Source organism: Homo sapiens, chromosome 17, assembly GCF_000001405.40.
Source record: "Homo sapiens chromosome 17, GRCh38.p14 Primary Assembly".
NCBI lineage: Eukaryota > Metazoa > Chordata > Mammalia > Primates > Hominidae > Homo > Homo sapiens.
Genome location: NC_000017.11, coordinates 66,725,202 through 66,745,309, shown reverse-complemented (window position 1 = coordinate 66,745,309; position 20,108 = coordinate 66,725,202). Strand labels below are relative to the sequence as shown.

The following is a 20,108-nucleotide window of genomic DNA, read 5'->3' as shown; positions in this document are numbered from 1 at the left end:
GGGAATGAAGGCTTCAGATGTGAAAGTATCTAGAGCAAGAACAGAGTATTCTCTGTGTATGAAGAGGCCCGAAGTTACCAAGACATGACAGAAGTGTGTTTAGGTGTCCCTGTTGAGGACAGTGAGGAGGTTCTCCAACATATAACAAGTGTGATAGACTAAGTCCCCTCTCCCCAACAGATGTCCACATCCTTATCCCTGGAACCTGTGAATCTATTACCTTTATGCATTAAAAAGGATTTTGCAGAGGCAAATTAAGGATCTTGAGCTAGGGAGATGATCCTGGATTATCCAAGTGGGCCCCATATAATCCCAAAGATCCTTGTAGGAGAAGAGGGAGGCTGGAGGGTTGTAGTTGGAAAAGACAGAGAGATTGGAAGATGCTACGTTGCATGGGGGAGGGAAGAAGACACCACGAACCAAGGAATGCAGGTGGTGGCCTCTTGATGTTGGAAAAGGCATGGATGGCAACAGGTTCTCCCCTAAAGCTTCCAGAAGAAACCAGCCCTGCCCACAGCTTGACTTTAGTCCAGTGAGGCTGATTTTGGACTTCTGATCTCCGGAACCACATGATAATAAATCTGAGTTATTTTAAACTGCTGAGTTTGTGGTTATCTGTTACAGTGGCAACAGGAACTCATACCGTGAATGATACCGAACCGCAACAACAAAAAAAGACAAGACACTCAAATGGACAAACCTTAATGATATGGAAAATTTTGTCTCTACTGGACACTGTTGTTCCTGGTGTTATTAGATAGCTGAGGTGTTACTGAACACAAGGAGCTATTTGTCGGAACAGGAGAGACCTGGTCTTAATAGAGATGAGGTTCAATGCCACCTTTATTCCTAAAAAAGCTGCCATTCCCCATCACTAAGCTTTTACATCATCTGCTGAATTGTTCAATGAAGGCTGAATGGCTCATAATCACAGCCTGCTTAATACCTGTCATTTAGTAACAGGCTTCAGAATAAATACTACATCAAGAGATTGTATTTCTGACAGTACCCTGACTATTCCTCATATTTGAAAAATAAGACTATTTAATTTCACCTCATGTCTGTAGGTACTAATGAGGGAGTTCTTTTGGGGGAAAATCCCAGTAAGTTATGCAGCAAGATCACATATCACCTCTGGCCATGCGATTCAGAATTTAAGTTTCTAAATGAAGTCTATGTGTCCACGCTGTCTTGAAATATCATAAAACTACAAGGTCTTCACAAAGGAATAAAAAGCAGCTTCCCTTTTGGAATAATGACTATGGAGGGTCTACTAGATGCAAAATGTTGTATTAGGCACTTCAGTCCACACAGCAATTCTACAAGGAGGATATTATCCCTAAGGTGCCGCTGAAGAAACGGGGTTCAGAGACGTTAAGTAACTCACCCGAGTTCCCACAGTCTGTAAATAACAGATTCCAGATTGAAGCTCACATGGGTCTGACTTCTGAGCTTGTGGGTGCCTTTTTCACTATCCCTACTGTCTCTGAGATAAATGCATGGGGTAATCTGTTGAATAAATGTGAGACCGGCTGCCAACAGCTCATCTGAGGGCTCTGTGAAGAGCTGAAGCCAGCTCAGCTTTGGATCCATTGGTCTCCACCATGCTGGGTACAGATGGGAAAAAACTGTGGCATCCATAGGACTGTGTGTGGATGGAAAGTTGGCTCTACAGTGACTACAGTGACAACCCATTCTATCATTGGCATGTGGGATGTTTCATAAAACAGGAAAAAAAATCCTCTGTAAGTGTTATAACAAAAGCAGAGCAGCACAGCCGCTGCTGTCAAGATACAAGTCCTGGAACCATTTTGCTTAGAACCACACTGACACATTCTTCCTAGACCAGACAACATGCAGTTTAGAACAGTCATCACCGCGATGCTGCTAATACACCATCACTGCAACCCCCGTCTCACCCCGCCTTCCAGGCAGAGTATTTTCACAAGTAATTCCCTCCACTCAACAGTATTTCTTTTTTTGGGGGGACAGAGTCTTGCTGTCACCCAGGCTGGAGTGCAATGGCATGATCTCAGCTCACTGCAACCTCTGCCTCCTGGGTTCAAGAGATTCTCCTGCCTCAGCCTCCTGAGTAGCTAGGTATTACAGGTGTGCACCACCATCCCTGGCTTTTTGTATTTTTAGTAGAGATGGGGTTTCACCACGTTGGCCAGGCTGGTCTTGAACTCCTGACCTTATGATCCACCCACCTCGGGCTCCCAAAGTGCTGGGATTACAGGCGTGAGCCACCGCGCCCAGCCAACAGTGTTTCTTAAATGATTTTGACCATGACCATGTAACAAATACATTTTCCCAAGCAACTGGCTCACATGGAGCAAACAACAGTTCCAGGAAGCAAGACACAACCTTACTATGTGCAATGGGCTCTCCTATTTCCTCTATTTTAGTCTGTTTTGTCCAGTTTAGTCCATTTAGTGGCTGTGACCATGCACTGACTTCATGATTCGCCAGTGACCCTATAACCCATGAGAGGGCTGCGTTTACAGTTTGGGAGTCCTGGTTGAGAAAACGATCACTGGGGTTCCTACCTCTGGGGCGATATAATCTGGAGTCCCACAGAAGGTCCTGGTCGTGACTCCATCCATCATGTGTTCCTTGCACATCCCAAAGTCAGCAATTTTGATATGTCCTTCTGAATCCAACATGACGTTATCTAACTTCAGATCCCTGCAAGGAACCGGGTTAACATCAGAGTCCTTCCCATGACATAACATGGTTTGCTTTGGAACTGGTGAAATAGAAGGATATCTGAATACCTGTCAGCTCAATGGCAATATTAACTATAAGTCCCTGGACTGTAGTATCAGAAGTCAATGTGTGTTGATATCTTCAGAGACTAATATTGTGCCTAGGCTACAGCAGGTGCTTAAATGCATACTGAATGGATTACTAAACGACTGGACTAGTGATTCTCAATCTTGCCTATGTCTGTGACTCTAGAGATTCCAATTGAGCACGTCTGGGAAAGTCTCAATCATTTGATTTATTCATGTCCCACACAGGGGGTCTGACACATGACCAGGTTTGCAAAATCACGGGTTTAGAACCACTTCACTGGGTCATACACATGTCCCTTCCATTCTGCCTGTGCCATATATCCTTCTAATTATGCTTCAATTAATACTGGAAGAAATTCTTCCTTCTTTGGCACCAGACTTTCAGCACAGCTACTAACAGGCAGAATTTAATTCAATAGATTTTTTTCCTTGCCTCTCCCCAGTTCCCTGTGTTCTTCTTCTGCTGAACATCTATAACAGGAATTCAGTTTCCATTGCTCCCTGACCTCCATTCCAAAGAAAAGGCAGTGGAAGGAGCTGTCAATGGAGAGAAAAATGTGTTTTCTTGTGGAAAAAGTAGAAACAAGATATAAAGTCTTTGCGGTCTAGAAATCAGAAGGTGGCTCTGATTTGCCTCCAGGGTGAGGAGGAAGGTGGGTCCCAGCAGGTCTCTGTTCCTCCTGGGGAGTTATCAACTCTGTGTCTTAAGTCACCATTCCAGAATGACATGCCCACAGAGGCCCAGCTAACCTCTCTGCTGAGCTGCTGGTAGGAGGGCTTCAATACACACCTATAAATGATTCCTCTTTTATGAAGAAAGAACAATCCGATGGAAATCTCTGCCGCATAGAATCTGCAAAAGAAAACGGGCTTCAGGTTTCTCACTTGCTTCCTTAGATGCCTGTATACTTTACATTCTCAAATTCAAGCATCAAAGAGAGAAAAGAATGTCAGACCCAGAGGCTCTCAGAGACCAGCATCGTGTTCTTCCAACCCCCGGTCCTCCCTCCATCACTTCGTCCTCCAGCTTATCCGTGAATGAGACAGCTAATAAAACCAATGAAACCGGCTTCTTATTCTCTTATGGGGAAGGTGGACAAGTAGCTTATTGCCTGCAGAGTAATTTCTCATACAATCATTTAAAGAGTGGATACCAGTTAGACTATTCTATATCAGGAGTATGGCGTAAAGAAAATTTCCATTTTCCTATTCACTGGCAGAATACACTGGTGTTTGAAAATACAATACAATTACTCCCTGGAAGGCAAAGTATAGTGGGTGATGAACTCTTTAGCTAGTGTTTTCATTCCTTGCGAGTGTTGGAGAGATTCATATCTGAGTTTACTCTTTTAAATAATTCATAATAAAAAGCAGTAACTACCATCACTTCAAAATTGTTAATACATTAATAGCTGAAACTCAGATTAAAAGGAGGCGAATATTTAAAAATCTGCATAGCATTCAGGAGTCTTTGAAGTCGAAGAAGCCACAAGACTGTGCCTGTGGAAATATCACATGCAGGAGGCTCAAAATAAGCACACGTGTCTACACGAGCAGAGAGGAAAAAAAATCTCTAATGATCAAGACCAAACCCTTAACGAGGGGCCACCTCTGAAGGCTAGAAGAGTACAGAAAGGGGGAGGGTGAAGAGATGGGATTACTACAGGTGATCTTTACATTATTTTTCATGCTTTTCTAAACTTTTCTGCAACACAAATAATATAATGAAAGGATATTGGACCAGACACCTTTATGTTACTTTATAACATAGGGTGACTCTGCTATCTGCTCTTTACAGTCCTGTGTGACCAAGCTTTATTTTACAATCTGAGTATTTTAAGGCTTTATAACTACAACATAAGACAGAAGAAAAGGACAGGCATTTCTGAAAACTGAAAAGGAACAATCAATAAAGGCAGAAAAATCCCCCTTCACACTTTTAAAGCTTGCAACCAAAGATTTCCCTATTCTGCCTTCAGTTAATCTTCCCTAGGGTGCATAATCCCTCGCAGGCCAAAAATTCTTCCAATGTGTCTCTTAGATGGCACAGCAGCCAGAATCCTATTAACAGGTGCTGACTTCATTCATCAGGGTACATGCCCCCGAGGTTTCCTCACTGCGGAACTAAACTCGCCCTTTGTTTAGGCTTGCTCCACTGGTGTTTCCTGAGACTTCCTGGCCCCTGAGAGGTGAGATGATGTTTTCCAGCACCAAAGTTCCAGCTCCCCACACCCCTCAGATGAATCTCTCATCTTCACCTGGAGCCCACGTCTTCCTCCTGTGCTGCCGACTCCCGCATCCCATCATGCAGGTGCGTTCCAATAAAACGTTCTTAACTGAGCTCATGAATCTCCCCCCTCAAACCACCTCCTCCTTGGTGGCTGCCCCGACCCAAGCCTGAAATGGGGTCTCACTGGAAGAGGTTTATCTCTTCTCTCCTCCATAGTCAATAAGTTCTGCTTTTCTTCCTCCAGGGTGTTTTTCAAAGACACTTATTCCTCTTTGGCTCCAAGGTCTAGCCCTAACTACAGCTCCATTCCTTCTTATCTATAAAGGGTCTCACCAGCGCCTGCACCAGCCTCTACCATTTCCTTTCATGCTTCCTTCTTCCCCCAGAGAGCTCTGCAAAAACTGAATCTGATGGTGCAAGCCCCACTGCAGTGCCTTCCCTCTTCCCTCCTCCACAGCCAGGCTCCTTACCAGGCTCTTCACCCAGAGCCCCACCTACCACGTTCCCCCCTTCCCCCGCCCCTCAAATAATCTCACAGCATCTCCCACACCTGCTGAGCTGCAAGGCTGCTTCCCTGGACTTGCTTCTGCCTCTGTTCACATCTCTTCCTGGAAGGCTCTTCCCCCACCTCTGAGCCGGTCATTTCGTGGGGTTGCACTTCCCTCTCCCCGATTTTTAGGGGCTTACGTGTTATCCTGGTATCCTGCGCAAGTCTCTAAAGTTACAGCAACGCACTATTAATTGTTAGGTGACTTCTCCACCTCCAGGGTGGAGTGTAAACTCCCTCTGGAAAGGGAGCACCTCGTTCCTTTCGCAACCCCAGTGCCTGGTGCAGAGCAGGTGTGTGATAACCATTTGTTCAACAGATAAGAATAACTCCATCAACAAGGGTGGACCTGGGTGATGATGGGATATGGCAACATCTCCAGTTTATTGGAAATACTGGAAATAGAATAAACTGCTCCTTAGGAACCATCTTAGATGGATCCTACCAGTATATCTGCCCTCCGCCTCCCATGTTTAGGTTTATAACATTCAACCTAAAACTGGGCAGAATCCCACTTTCCCATTTCACCCAGCAGAAGTTCCCAGTTGGGGCTGGGCATGGTGGCTCACTCACGCCTGTAATCCCCGCACTTTGGGAGGCCGAGGTGGGCAGACAGCTTGAGCTCAGGAGTTCGGGACCAGCCTGGGCAAGATGGTGAAACCCCATCTCTACCAAAAACAGAAAATTAGCCAGGCATGGTGGTGTGTGCCTGTAGTCCCAGCTACTCAGGAGGCTGAGGTGGGAGAATCACCCGAGCCTGGGAGGCAAAGCCTGAGTGACAGAGTGAGACCCCCAATCTCAAGCGGGGGGGAAAAAAGGAAGTTTCCAGTTGGTAGGACTTGGTTGTTCAAATTAAAGGACTTAAAAAATAATACTCACACTGCTTGTGGTTCCTTAAATTTTCCTACTTGCTGAATGTGGTACATGAGGTCCCCACCGTTGACATATTCCATGACGAAGTACAGCCGATCCTGCAGACCAAGGTTCAACACATGAGCAGGGCTCCTCCCCAGCCAAGTGGCTTCCTTTGCTCTTCACAGGTTGTGTTTTGCTTTCTCATTAGTTAAATGGGGACTGCATGGGCAGATGTGCTCAGTTTAGAGCTCTTTCACATTTTTTTCCAAAGAAAGAATAAGTAATAAACCCTACTGCATGAGGGCCTTGGGAAGTATAAAGTCATTACATAACCCTGAAATAATGGCTCTCCATCAACGTGCCTTCCTGTTACATATGCTATTATAGTAACGGCCTTGAACATTCTTCCCTATCTTCCTATACATATAATAAATTTCTAAGTAAGGGATGGTGTGAGGAATCCACATAAGGCAATTATTTCATTTTAACTAGTGCTTCTCCATGGTCCAAATGTTTAAAGGCTGGTTTGCAGTGTCTGGGAGGCGTGCCATACTAATGTAGTATCGTGTTTAAATGGATACTCCTGAAAACACATCTCTCAGGCTTAGGATTACACATGCTCAATATATTTACTGGACATGGGACAGGGGACTCTAGATGGAGATGCTAATCAAATGTTCTTTTGCATCTGTAATATGCCCAAACACTGTTTTTCTATTTTCTCTGTCACTGGTAGGCTAAGTGTTGGCCCCATGATGGGCATGTATCATAGACCCAAATAAATCTGCATATTCCTGAGGACATTATGCTGGGACAGATAGGAAGATGGAGGGGTTTAACAGTGAAATAATGACCTCTGCTCTCTGCTAGAAAACATCCCCATTTCACAGAGGATATTAAACATTAAAGTGCTGCACAGGGAGAAAAAAATGATGAAGCTGGTGCTAATAGCCAGGAAGCAACCCTGGGAGCCCCAGTCTCTAGCTTTCCTGTTATGAACTTTAATTTCATCTTCATTTCTTTGTTTTGTAGCTTTCCAGAGCTTAATCAGGGTAACCAGGGTTACAGGCTCTGGGCTGGGATTCAGAGCTGTGGTTGTCTCTTCCGAGCATGCTGCTCTCATCTCTCCCTGGCGTGACTTGATTCAGAGTCAGTGGGAACGGCTGGGAGCAGGAAGCTCAACGTGCCGCCAGCGCTAGGCTGACACGTAGTGGCCGGCGCCTGACTCCGCGGCCACTGCTACACACCCAGAGGCTCCGGGTGGCTGCAAAGCCATTTTGAGATTCTAAAACACAAAAGCACTGAGAGGTTCCTCCCAAGAGTTTTCAAAGAGGCATAAGACAGAAAGTCAATCTCTGATCAATGGGCAGTTGAAAATAGTAATAATCGCATCAATTACAGCTACTGATTATGGAGTCATATTTTAAATGGGCAGCCTCTGAGGAGTGGAAAGACCAGCTTTGGCAACGTCTCACTATGGTGGCATCTAAACATCTATGTTTCTTTTTTTTCTTTTTAAGACAGAGTCTTGCTCTGTTGCCCAGGCTGGAGTGCAGTGGCGCCATCTCGGCTCACTGCAAGCTCCACCTCCCGGGTTCACGCCATTCTCCTGCCTCAGCCTCCCGAGTAGCTGGGACTACAGGCGCCCGCCACCACGCCCGGCTAATTTTTTTTTTTTTTTTTGTATATTTAGTAGAGACGGGGTTTCACCGTGTTAGCCAGGATGGTCTCGATCTCCTGATCTCGTGATCTGCCCGCCTTGGCCTCCCACAGTGCTGGGATTACAGGCGTGAGCCACCGCGCCCGGCCATGTCTGTTTCTTGTAGGCCACTTGCAAGCCCTGCAACGGACTGATTAGTGCTTTGGAATGTCCTTTTTTGTCCTCTGTTTAGTTTTACTTTACGACAGAGCTCAGCAAACTTTTTCCACAAAGGGCCAGACAGTATGTATTAATATTTTAGGCTGTGAGTGTCTCTTGCAGCAACTCAACTCTGCCTTCATGGTGCAAAAGCAGCTGTAGATGACAGGTACACGAAGGAGTGTGGTGATGTCCCAAAACAGCTGTTTATGGATGCTGAAATTTAAAATTTGACCTAATTTTCACGTGTCACGATATATGACTCTTTGGATTTCCTTGTTGTGACCTTTCCTAAACTCACAAGCCATAGAGAATAGGCCACAGTTTGCCAGTCCCTGTTGTGTGGCATTGAACAAGAACATGCTCTTTTACAAAATCAAGTCTCCTTATGCTCCAATGCCATGTTTGGCAGTGGAACCAGTGGTCTTAAAAAGCCAAGACTGTGGCCAGGTGCGGTGGCTCATGCCTGTAATCCCAGCACTTTGGGAGGCCGAGGCGGGTGGATCACCTGAGGTCAGAAGTTCAAGACCGGCCTGGCCAACATGGTGAAACCCCATCTCTACTAAAAATACAAAAATTAGCCGGGCGTGGTGGCAGCGGCCTGTAATCCCAGCTACTCGAGAGGCTGAGGCAGGAGAATCCCTTGAGCCTGGGAGGTGGAGGTTGCATTGAGCAGAGATCGCACCATTGCACTCCAGCCTGGGGAAGAGAGAGTGACTCCGTCTCAAAAAAAAAAAGCCAAGACTGTGAGTTTTTTTGTTTGTTTGTTTTTGTATCCCAAAGTCTGAGCACAGTACCAGGCATGAAGAAAACCTTTCATGGAAATGTTTGCTGAATTAAGGCCAGGCACAGTGGCTCACACCTGTAGTCCCAGCACTTTAGGAGGCCAACGTAGGGGGATCGTTTGAGCTCAGGAGTTTAAGACCAGCCTGGGAAACATGGTGAAACCCCCGTCTCTACTAAAAATACAAAAATTAGCTGAGTGTGGTGGGGTACATCTGTGGTCTCAACTACTTGAGACTGCAGTGGGCCGTGACTGTGCCACTGCACTCTAGCCTGGGCGAGAGAGTGAGATCCTGTCTCAAAAAAAAAAAAAAAAAAGAAAGAAAGAAAGAAAAAGAAAAAGAAATGTTTGCCGAATTAAATGGCATGAATGCCAAGCAGAGGACATCACAGAGAAGGCATGCCCCAAATCTACCAGTGAGAGAGGTGGGAGGTGGTCCCCAGTCACCTCTGCTTGACATCACAACACACCTTTCTCCAGCCTTCTCCAAAGGAACAAGGATGCTAAGAAGCTTTGGGCTGAGGCGTAGCTCTGAGAGCTGGGTACTGCATCGCAGGGATTCCCAGGGTCCTTACCACTGTCTGGAAGCAGGAGTGCAGCTGCGTCAAGAACGGGGGTTTGTCAAGCAGGGCCAAGACTCGCTTTTCTACCATGGTGCACTCCACGTCATCATCCTGAATCACCACATCCTTCTTCAGGATTTTGATTGCATACAGTTCTTCTGTGCCCTTCCTGTCGGCAAGCATCACCTGAGAACACGTCAAGAACAACCTGAACACTTGTAAGCACATATCTTGGGGGGCAGAGGGAAGGAACCAGGCCAGGTGACGGCTCAGTGACAGTTTGTGCACCTTTGTCAATGTGGAACATAAAAATATTAAACTTTATGTGCAAATTTGTAAATTCTACACATCACTACAAATTCAGTCCCTCCAGCATTTGCAAAACTTCAATGCTGCCAAGATTTGTAAATGGTATAGGCCACTGCCACATAATGGCACTATTTTGGCTGCTAAAATGAATACTCAACATTCTCTATCAGGATTAGTCTGGAATAATGCACATTTTTCAGGAGTATCCTTAGAGTGAAAGCTGACTGACATTTATAATCTCTCAAGTCAAGAACCTAGACTTGAAATCAGTTCCTGCGTCTATGAAATGTGGGGCCACAGAAACCGAATGGAGATACAGGCAAATTGCTGAAGACCCCATGTCAGTATCTCTTAATGATTGTATTTGCTTACTACAAGTGAACATTTAATTTTTAGTTGTGAAAACTATTCATCAACCAGCATTTCTGAGCATCCCTTCTGTTCTGAACACTGAGAAATAGTAACAACACAGTGAACCCACTATAGCTTTTTGGATGCAGTTGCTTTTAAGGAAGTAGAAACCAGGTGAGGACTGTGCACTCTGATCTGAGAGACCAAATAAATGCCTCTTTAGCGACTAAGATGGACCCTAATGTCGCAGGCATTTGAACCAGAGTGACTCCATCTTGAATAAGGGATGGGAAAAATAAGGCTGAGATCTGCTGGGCCGCATTCCCAGGAGGTCAGGCATTCTTAGTCGCAGGATGAGATAGGAGGTCAGCAGGGCTAGTATCACAAGACACAGGTCAGAAAGACCCTGCTGATAAAACAGGATACAGTAAAGAAGCCAGCCAAAACGCACCAAATCCAAGATGGCGATGAGAATAACCTCTGGCTACCCTCATTGCTCATTATATGCATTATTAGCATGTGAAAAGACACTCCCACCAGCACCCCAACAGTTTACAAATGCCATGGCAATGCCCAGAAGTTACCTTATATAGTCTAAAAGATGGAGGAAGCCTCAGTTCTGGGAATTGCCCACCCCTTTCCCAGAAAACTCATGAATAATAAAACCCTTGTTTAGCATACGATCAAGAAATACCTCTAAGTATACTCAGTCAAGCAGCCCATGCTGCTGCTCTGCCTATGGAGTAGCTGTTCTTTCATTTCTTTACTTCTCTAACAAACTGACTTTCACTTTATTCTGTGGACTCGCTCTGAATTCTTTCTTGCTTGAGGTCCAAGAACCCTCCTCTTGGGGTCTGGATCAGGACCCCTTTCTGGTAACATTAAAGTTAAGGAAATAGTTATCTATGGGTTGAGGGTTCAGGGCCCAGCTGGCATGGCAAATTTCTAAATCCCTACAGCTACAAGATAAACCACTCTCGCTAAACTCCCTAGCAGTAGGAGCTATCAGGCCCCTCCTAACTTTGATTGACAACTCAGATCACTATGACTTGGACTGGACAGAGAACTGGCCTTACAAACATTCTTTTCTGTGATGCAACTGCAGACCTGAAGCCAGTTTCAGCAGCTTGCAGAGCCTGCACACAAACTGTTTTTGGGTCCTGTGGTTCACCTTTTGATCTAAAGAGCCAACTTCCACCTTTTTTTATTTATTTACTTTTTTTGAGACGGAGTCTCCCTCTGTTGCCCAGGCTGGAGTGCAGTGGCATGATCTTGGCTTACTGCAACCTCCACCTCCCAGGTTCCAGCGATTCTCCTGCCTCAGCTTCCCGAGTAGCTGGGATCACAGGTGCACACCACCACACCCAGCTAATTTTTGTATTTTTAGTAGAGATGGGGTTTCACCATTTTTGCCAGGCTGGTCTCAAACTCCTGACCTCAAGTGGTCCACCTGCCTTGGCCTCCCAAAGTACTGGGATTACAGGCATGAGCCACCATGCCTAGGCAAATTCCACCTCATTTTAATGCTAAGTCCCCACCCCAAAGTGAACATAAGATGCATGTTACATATATGTTCATCCATTGTGCCTGTGCTAGGCTTCCCTCACAGATAAGTCAAGCTTTCCCCCCAAACCTGTTGAATATGGATGACTCTACTGTGTAACATGGACCCTGTGAGGCATAAAACCCAACCTGCCCTTTCTCTCCTCAAAGAGAGGGCACCTTCATTTCACACCATAGACTTTCTTTTATGGGTTTGCAAACTGATACCACCAATAAACCTCTCCTTTCTACCATTTAGCCATCCTGGTGGTCTTCTGGATGACTGTACAAATCACAGGGAAATCTTTTTTTTTTTTTTTTTTTGAGACGGAGTCTCACTGTCTCCCAGGCTGGAGTGCAGTGGTGCGATCTCGGCTCACTGTAAGCTCCGCCTCCCAGGTTCACGCCATTCTCCTGCCTCAGCCTCCCAAGTAGCTGGGACTACAGGCGCCCACCACCATGCCCAGCTAATTTTTTGTATTTTTAGTAGAGATGGGGCTTCACCGTGTTAGCCAGGATGGTCTTGATCTCCTGACCTTGAATCACAGGGAAATCTAATGTGCTATTCTGCAAACTACGAGGAGAACAAAACTGATTCGACATTCTCTGCAGAAGCCCCTGCAATTTGCAGACGACTGTCCTCTTACCTTTCCAAAACTCCCCTTTCCCAACACCATGAGGAAATTGAAGTCCGTGAGTTTCACTCGGTCAAGGTTGTTGGAAGGTTGTTTCCTGTCTTCAGAGGGACTGATGACTTTGTTGCCAGCAGGGCCAAGTTTGGCTTTCTAAATAACAAGCACAAATGGGAAACACGTGGGTCATTTTTCTGGGGAAAGAGTGACAGAAACCACCGTGTTGTAACTGAGTTTAATGTTTGCTTGGAGGTGGGATGGGGTGAGAAAAGGAACAAAGGGTGAGAATTGAGTACCTGTTCAGATATCAGCAGCTACACTCACCCTACAGGGAAAGTCAGCAAGGTAGCAGAAAACTGCTCTCCCTATTAAGAGACAACTCTTTACACAGTCAACCTAGAATTGATGCGTGGGGATCCGTGAAGGGCTGGTTGGTTGTAATTCCAGTATGTCAAAGTCGACTTCTTGGGAAAAACAGTGCTTCGGGTCCATGAACATAATAAAGGAAATAAACTGTGTACTGATGCTTTTTGTATTTGTAGATTTTCCAATTTAAAATTAATCTGCATAAAGGAAAACTTGTACCCACACCAAAAGGGAGGAAAATGTTCTCTGGAGAGGAACTGCTTAAAATGGCAAAGCCATTGGGATGATTCATCGCTATTTTCAAATGCACAGTAAGAACAGGGGTTGGGTTGTTTTTTTTTTTTTGATTTTTTTTTTCTTTTAAATCAAGAGTTGAACTCACAAAAAGACATGGTGATGTGCATAAGAAGAGATCCCAGCACTCTGGGAGGCCGAGGCGGGTGGATCACCTGAGGTCTGGAGTTTGAGACCAGCCTGGCCAACATGGTGAAACCCCGTCTCTACCAAAAATACAAAAATCAGCTGGGCATGGTGGTGCGTGCCTGTAATCCCAGCTACGTGGGAGGCTGAGGCAGGAGAATCGCTTGAACCGGGGGGCGGGGGGCGGAGGTTGCAGTGAGCTGAGATCGCGCCATTGCACTCCAGCCTGGCGACAGAGCAAGACTCTGTCTCAAAAAAAAAAAAAAAAAAAAAAAAAAAGAAAGGGAGCACAAGGCGCCCTTTGCGCCTGAAGAATATCTGGTCACTGCCTGGTGGGCGAGCTACCAGAGGAGTTTTTAGAAGCTCTAGAGGGGGCCCTGCCCTCACGACTCTCACCAGGGCCTCAGAGTCCATGTCAAAGGCAAAAGGTAAAAGGGCTCAGCAGAAAAAGGAAGGTCAGTAAACCCACGGGAAGTCTCACTGTCACCGAAGGAGCCCTGGAGAAGCCTGGAGTGGGCTGAGTCTCCCAGCACAAGACTCCGAATTTTGAACATCTGCCTGACGGGAAGGAGCTAGTTGTAAGAAGCGTCAGCTGCTGACAGGTCCAGGACCCTGGTCCCTGGCTAGACCTCCACAGCCACATCCCTGAGCCCTAGGGCAATGATTCTTGCCTTGGATACATTCTTTTTTTTTTTTTTTTTTTCTGAGACGGAGTTTTGCTCTTGTTGCCCAGGCTGAAGCGCAGTGCAGTGGCGCGATCTCAGCTCACTGCAACCTCCGCCTCCCAGGTTCAAGCGATTCTCCTGCCTCAGCCTCTTGAGTAGCTGGGATTCGCCACCATGCATGGCTAATTTTTTTGTATGTTTAGTAGAGATGGGGTTTCGCCATGTTGGGCAGCCTGGTCTCGAACTCCTGACCTCAGGTGATCCGCCCACCTCGGCCTCCCAAAGTGCTGGGATTACAGGCATGAGCCACCACGCCTGCCCATTCTTAATGAGAGGGTGCACCTCCCTCCCTAGTGCAGCAGACCTTAGCTCTGGAGCTCTTTCCAGGAACTCACTCCAGTCAACACCTTGGTGGTTACCAAGATGATGGTGAAGGAGATAAGGAAGGCACTCAAGGGGCTTTACTATGGATCAGCAGCAGAGAAGGCTTCCGAGGAATCATCCGTCGTCCCTCTTGGAGCACCACCATGCCTTCATCCCACAAGTACTGATTGAGCCCCCTTGTGCTCTCTTGGGGAGCCTCTGCATTTGCAGGAGGAGCCCCTGCTGATACAGGAATTCAGCAGGACTGGTTTCACAAGATACAGGTCACAAAGAACCCCTAATACAACAGTCTGTGGCAAAGCCAGCCAAAACCCGCCAAAATCAACAAGGCAATGAAAGCAGTCTCAGGTCTCCTGGCTGCTCATCGTATGCTAATTATAATACATTGGCATGCTATAGGAAACTCCCGCCAGCACCAAGACAGTTTACAAATGTCATGGCAATATGTGGAAGTTACCCTACATGGTGTGAAAGGGGAATCCTCAGTTCCAGGAATTCCCTGCCCCTTTCCCAGAAAACTCATGAATAATCCACCCCTCGTTTAGCATTTGATCAAGAAATAACCACCAAAATAGCCAATCAGCAGCCTGCAGGGCTGCTCTGCCTATGGAGTAGCCACCCTCTTATTCCTTTACTTTCTTAATAAACTTGCTTTCACTTTACTCTGTAGGTTTGCTCTTGAATTCCCTCCCGCCCAAAGCCAAGAACCCATGTGGCCTCTTAGGCTGAACCCCAATTTTGGGGTTCACCCTGTGACACTGCCAGCTGTGTCTAGATTCCCAACTCTAACAGTGCTTGGCACAGGACATGCACTCAGCTCTCTGGCTGAACAAATACAGAACTGAAGCCCAAATGTGCTTATCAGATGCTGTGCTGTTGGGTGATGCTTTTCTCCGATAACAATAACTTGCTTGTGGCCAGACATGGTGGTTCACACCTGTAATCCCAGCACTTTGGGAGGGTGAGGTGGGTGGATCACCAGGTCAGGAATTCAAGACGAGCCTGGCCAACATGGTGAAACCCTGTTTCTACTAAAAAAATACAAAAATTAGCTGGGCATGGTGGCACATGCCTATAATCCCAGCTACTCAGGAGGCTGAAGCAGGAGAATTGCTTGAACTGGGACTGGGGAGGCGGAGGCAGCAGTGGGTGAGATTGTGCCACTGCACTCCAGCCTGGGCTATAGAGTGAGACTCTGTCTCAGAAAAAAAAAAAAAAAAAAAAAGAATAACTCGCTCATACAGGGATCAAGTCTCAGGGCTTGTGAACATGCTCTGATGAGTTGAGTGCCCCCATTTGACCAGAGACATTAAAACATGAGGGAGAGATGGCCCTGATATTTTTGCTTCCAGACTGAAAGTGTGAAACACGGCTGAGCTCTGCCTTTGTTGGCAGCATGTAGTGGAAACACCTGTGAATTTGGGGCCACTGGAAACGTAGAAGGCCCATAAAGATAAAACATGAACTGTGATGCTACACATACTGGCCTGCCCACTTCGGCAGGGCCAGCCCAGTCCTCTAAAAACTGGCCCCGGCAATGATTCTAAGTTGAGAAACTTCCTAGGCTGTGTCTACATTTAATTTTTAATTTTTATTTTTTTGAGACAGAGTTTCACTCTTGTCACCCAGGCTGGAGTGCAGTGGTGCGATCCCAGCTCACTGCAACCTCTGCCTCCTGGGTTCAAGCGATTCTCCTGCCTCAGCCTCCTGAGTAGCTGGGATTACACGTGCACACCACCAAACCAAGCTAATTTTTTTTTATTTTTAGTAGATATGGGGTTTCGCTGTGTTGGCCAGGTTGGTCTCGAACTCCTGATCCATCTGCCTCGGCCTCCCAAAGTGCTGGTATTACAGGTGTGAGCCACCGCACCCAATTGGTTGTGTCTAAATTTAAAAGAATACATAGGAAGTGCAAATTTGAGATGAGAATACCGACTATGCCACCCTGCTCTGCACTTCTGACTTAGAATAAGAAAAAAGTTACCAGAAAGAGGCACAGATTAATCGTATTTTCTCAGGATTCACAATAACATCTGAAAACACCCAAACACAACTGACTTGCTGATCTGAGATGCTTGAAACAGTTAAAAACTACTTTCACCTGGGTGAAGTTGCGGTTCATACTACCAACGAATGCCCAGTTTCCAACTGTAGCACGCAGTTCTACCCAGCTATGCTGGACTCCTCTGACATTCCCAGACAGTCATTCCGCCTTCCTCCTTTGACAAGTCACCACCACAGTCAGGGGATGTGGGCTGATGCAGTGATGAGCCTCCAGATAGGCAGGGGGCCTTTTTACACACTTTGCCATCTACCGCCTCAACTGCAGACATAACCTAACGACGGCCTTGTGAGTTTCATGTTATCATATTAGTCTGGTTATAAGCATGAGACACTGCTCACAGTCAGGCTAAAGGCTGACAGAAGCATTTTTACATTCAAGTACTTCTGAACTTATTTGCAATATGACCTTGGCCTCAGGTCTCAAATCAATCACCAGGTTTGAGAGCAATATCCACAAAGGAGACACCTGCTCGCACAAGGTGGAGCTGGGCAGAGGACGCCACACGCTTCCTGCTCTGCCTGGGCAGATTCTTTTCAGCCGGAAGCAGAGCTGAGTTTCTGGAGGCTGGTAGAACAGGCAGCTGTTTGGGAAGGAGACAGACCGGTGTGTGGGGTCCAGGGCAGGCTGACCACGTCCATATCAGAGAGGTAGCTTCTCAGTGGCCTGGCCCAGAGGGTCAGAATAGATTTCTCCCCAGCCCAAGCCAGCCCTGAGATCAGAGCAGACCCAGCATCTTCACGCCCTTGCTCCCCCAATCAAGAGCAGCACTTCTGTTTCCACTACAGAACACACTCCCTGAGCCATCTCCACGCTGCCACCTGCAGGCCTTGCTGCCAAAGGACACAGAGCCATCCAATGCTGAGTTTTTGAAAGCAGCTCTGTTATGGTAGGAAACTCCACGGTACGGCAACCTCAGGGGTCTGGGCCGGCTTTGAGCAAGTCCCACTTTCAGTCTGGGTCTAATCAATGCTGGGGTTGAGGGAGACAGCCAGTGGATATCCGAGCAGCTACATCACTGGGGGTGGGGGATGCCTGAGGGCAGGGGGACGAGGAACCATATAGGACTTCCAGGTGGGCAGGGCGCCAGGGCAAGATCAGATGCAGCGCGAGGCTTGACCTCCAGACCTTTGGCCAGCACCTCCTCTGTCTTCCTGAAGACCCAGCCTTCCCTGGCCTGCCGTTTCTCCCCCATCCCTAGCCTGGCTGACCTCTCCCACTTCTTCAGGTCCCAGCTCAACTGCTATTTCTTCAAGAAAACTCAAACAGGAATAATACAAGGTGGTAGCAGGAGAACAGAAAATTCCAGGCAGCAGTTTCACGGGACTAGCAAAAAAGAAAAAAAAATGTTGAAATAACTGCATAAGCTAGGGGCCCACAAGACCCTAAACATCAGGATGTGGGCCAAGCTGGCTAAGACCAACTGGACCCAACATGGTGCTGGATTTGACCCAGTTTCACCTGGGACCTCACTGTCCACTCATTAACATCCTCAATCCTCTACCCACCAGTGCCACGGCCGTTCCAGGAACACCAATATTTAGTGTAAAAACAGGTGGCACCACATTTCTGAGAAATCTCCACCTTTTTCTGGGAATCTTCAGGAATATCCCACCCCTTAAAGAAGCCCATAAAGGTAGCAGGCCCCAAACCCCCTTGCACGCCACTCTCTCTGGAGTATGCCTGCCTTTCCCTTTCTCAAGTGTGTACTGGTCACTTTGCAATAAATCTCCATATTTTTCACTATTTTCTGACTCATCCTTGAATTCCTTCCCGTGGCAGTATCAAGAGCCTGGACACCAGCTGAGGTCGAGGTCCCACCAGCGTTTGGGGACCTCCCCTAGCCCACGGGCAGCAAAACCCCTCCCCAAAGATGTCCCGTTGCTCTCGCTGGCGGGCTACTGCTAAAATGACAGCAGAAGCCAGGCACGGTGGCTCAAGCCTGTAATCCCAGCACTTTGGGACACCAAGGCAGGAGGATCACCTGAGGTCAGCAGTTCAAGACCAGCCTGCCAACATGGTGAAACCCCGTCTCTACCAAAAAATACAAAAATTAGCCAACGTGGTGGTGGGCGCCTGTAGTCCCAGCTACTTGGGAGGCTGAGGTGGGAGAATCGCTTAAACCCAGGAGGCGAAGGTTGCAGTGAGCCAAGATCGTGCCACTGCCCTCTGGCCTGGGTGATAGAGTGAGACCCTGTCTCGAAAAAAAAAAAAAAGACAGTGGTCCTGTCCTGGATTCACCGGCTTCCCACACGACAGAGAGAAGGCTGAGTGCTTTGATGGCTGAGGAGGACACTCGCTCTGCTCTGTCTCTCGGCTTATTTCCCACCACTCCCTCCGCCTCGGTCCCAGCCATGCCAGCCTGCCGCAAGCTCCCACCTGTCTCCTGCCTTGGGACGCCAGCTCCGCCCTTCCCTCTTCTGCTGTTCACAGTCATCCTCCACAGTGGTCTTCCTGAAACCCCAACACTCCTTCCTTCTCCCAGTTAGCTTTCTTCCCGGAAACCGTTGCCACCTGACTGCAAGTCTGGGAGGGCAGGGGTCTTGCTGTTCTGTTCACCTTCAAAGTCCAACTCAAGTGCCTCCTTTTGGTTTCTCTGGAATTTCCAACCTGCAGCAGACAGGGCCCCACCCGTATCCCCTGAGCTTTCTGTCCTGCACACCTGCGAACACCTGAGCTTTCTGTCCTGCACACCTGCGAACACCTGCGCTTTCTGTCCTGCACACCTGCGAACACCTGAGCTTTCTGTCCTGCACACCTGCGAACACCTGAGCTTTCTGTCCTGCACACCTGCAAACACCTGAGCTTTCTGTCCTGCACACCTGCGAACACCTGAGGGTTCCATTCAGACCACTCCTGCAGAGGGAGCCCGAGGTGCCCGAGTTATGGGAACAGGAAGCCTGTTCCAGAATGTTCTTCCAGCTCACAAGAAGACCGAGCTCCAGCTGCCCACAGTGGTCATCAGCTTGAGAACACAACCTTGGCTAGGTCCTACCCTTACCTGGCTCCCATCTCTACTCCCCACCCATGTCTCCTGGGATCCCTTCAGGAATGAACTTCTCAAAACCATGGGGCTACGTCAGCTTCTGGGGAACTTAACACACATTCCTTCTTGGAATTTTTTTTTTTTTTTCTAGACAGGGTCTCACTCTGTCGCCCAGGCTGGAGTGCAGTGGCATGATCATGGTTCACTGCAACCTCAACCTCCTGACCTCAAGTGATCCGCCCATCTCAGCCTCCTGAGTAGCTGGGACTACAAGCATACATCACCACACCCAGCTAATTTTTTTTTTTTTGTAGACATGCGGTTTTACCATGTTGCCCAGGCTGGTCTCAAACGCCTGAGCTCAAGTGATCCACCCACCTCAGCCTCTCAAAGTGCTGGGATTATAGGTGTGAGCCACCACACCCAGCCTCTTCTTCTTGGATTTATTGATCTGTCTTCCTCACTAGCCTGTGAGATCCTAGGAGGTAAGGACCAAGTCTTACTCAAGTTTGTATCTTGAGACCAAGCACTATATCAGGCACATGCATTCAAAACTCAGAGTTCTCTCTCTCATTCATTCACATTTGTGCTCATTAAGCACTAAGACTGACAGAACTGACAGAGGCCAACTTGTAGCCAGCACTAGTTGGCCAGATGACAAACTAACATAAAAAGGCAGCTGATAGTCAGGTGAGCTGGTGCAGACAAGCAGCCCAGAACTCCATGCATTTGCACCTTCATACATAATCTGAACTC

At 47.3% G+C, this 20,108-nt stretch overlaps 1 protein-coding gene across 6 annotated transcripts in view, besides 1 other annotated feature; it reads right to left on the bottom strand.

Moving 5' to 3' along the window:
- PRKCA (protein kinase C alpha) overlaps positions 1-20,108 on the bottom strand; it is a 508,131-nt gene that overhangs the window by 65,434 nt on the left and 422,589 nt on the right. For all 6 annotated transcript variants that reach the window (XM_047436388.1, NM_002737.3, XM_017024836.3 and 3 more), the window contains 5 exons: positions 12,485-12,622; positions 9,648-9,821; positions 6,455-6,546; positions 3,589-3,651; positions 2,550-2,688 (listed from right to left, as the gene is read on the bottom strand). In XM_047436388.1, the coding sequence (XP_047292344.1) occupies positions 2,550-2,688; positions 3,589-3,651; positions 6,455-6,546; positions 9,648-9,821; positions 12,485-12,622 (606 nt within the window). The remainder of the gene's footprint in view (positions 1-2,549; positions 2,689-3,588; positions 3,652-6,454; positions 6,547-9,647; positions 9,822-12,484; positions 12,623-20,108) is intronic.
- Positions 14,284-14,969: an enhancer, noted in NCBI's record as "OCT4-NANOG-H3K27ac-H3K4me1 hESC enhancer chr17:64726459-64727144 (GRCh37/hg19 assembly coordinates)". NCBI's record gives its function as "activates a minimal SCP1, AML or CMV promoter by ChIP-STARR-seq in primed H9 embryonic stem cells {active_cell/tissue: H9 hESC(primed)}" and the evidence as "EXISTENCE:reporter gene assay evidence [ECO:0000049][PMID:30033119]".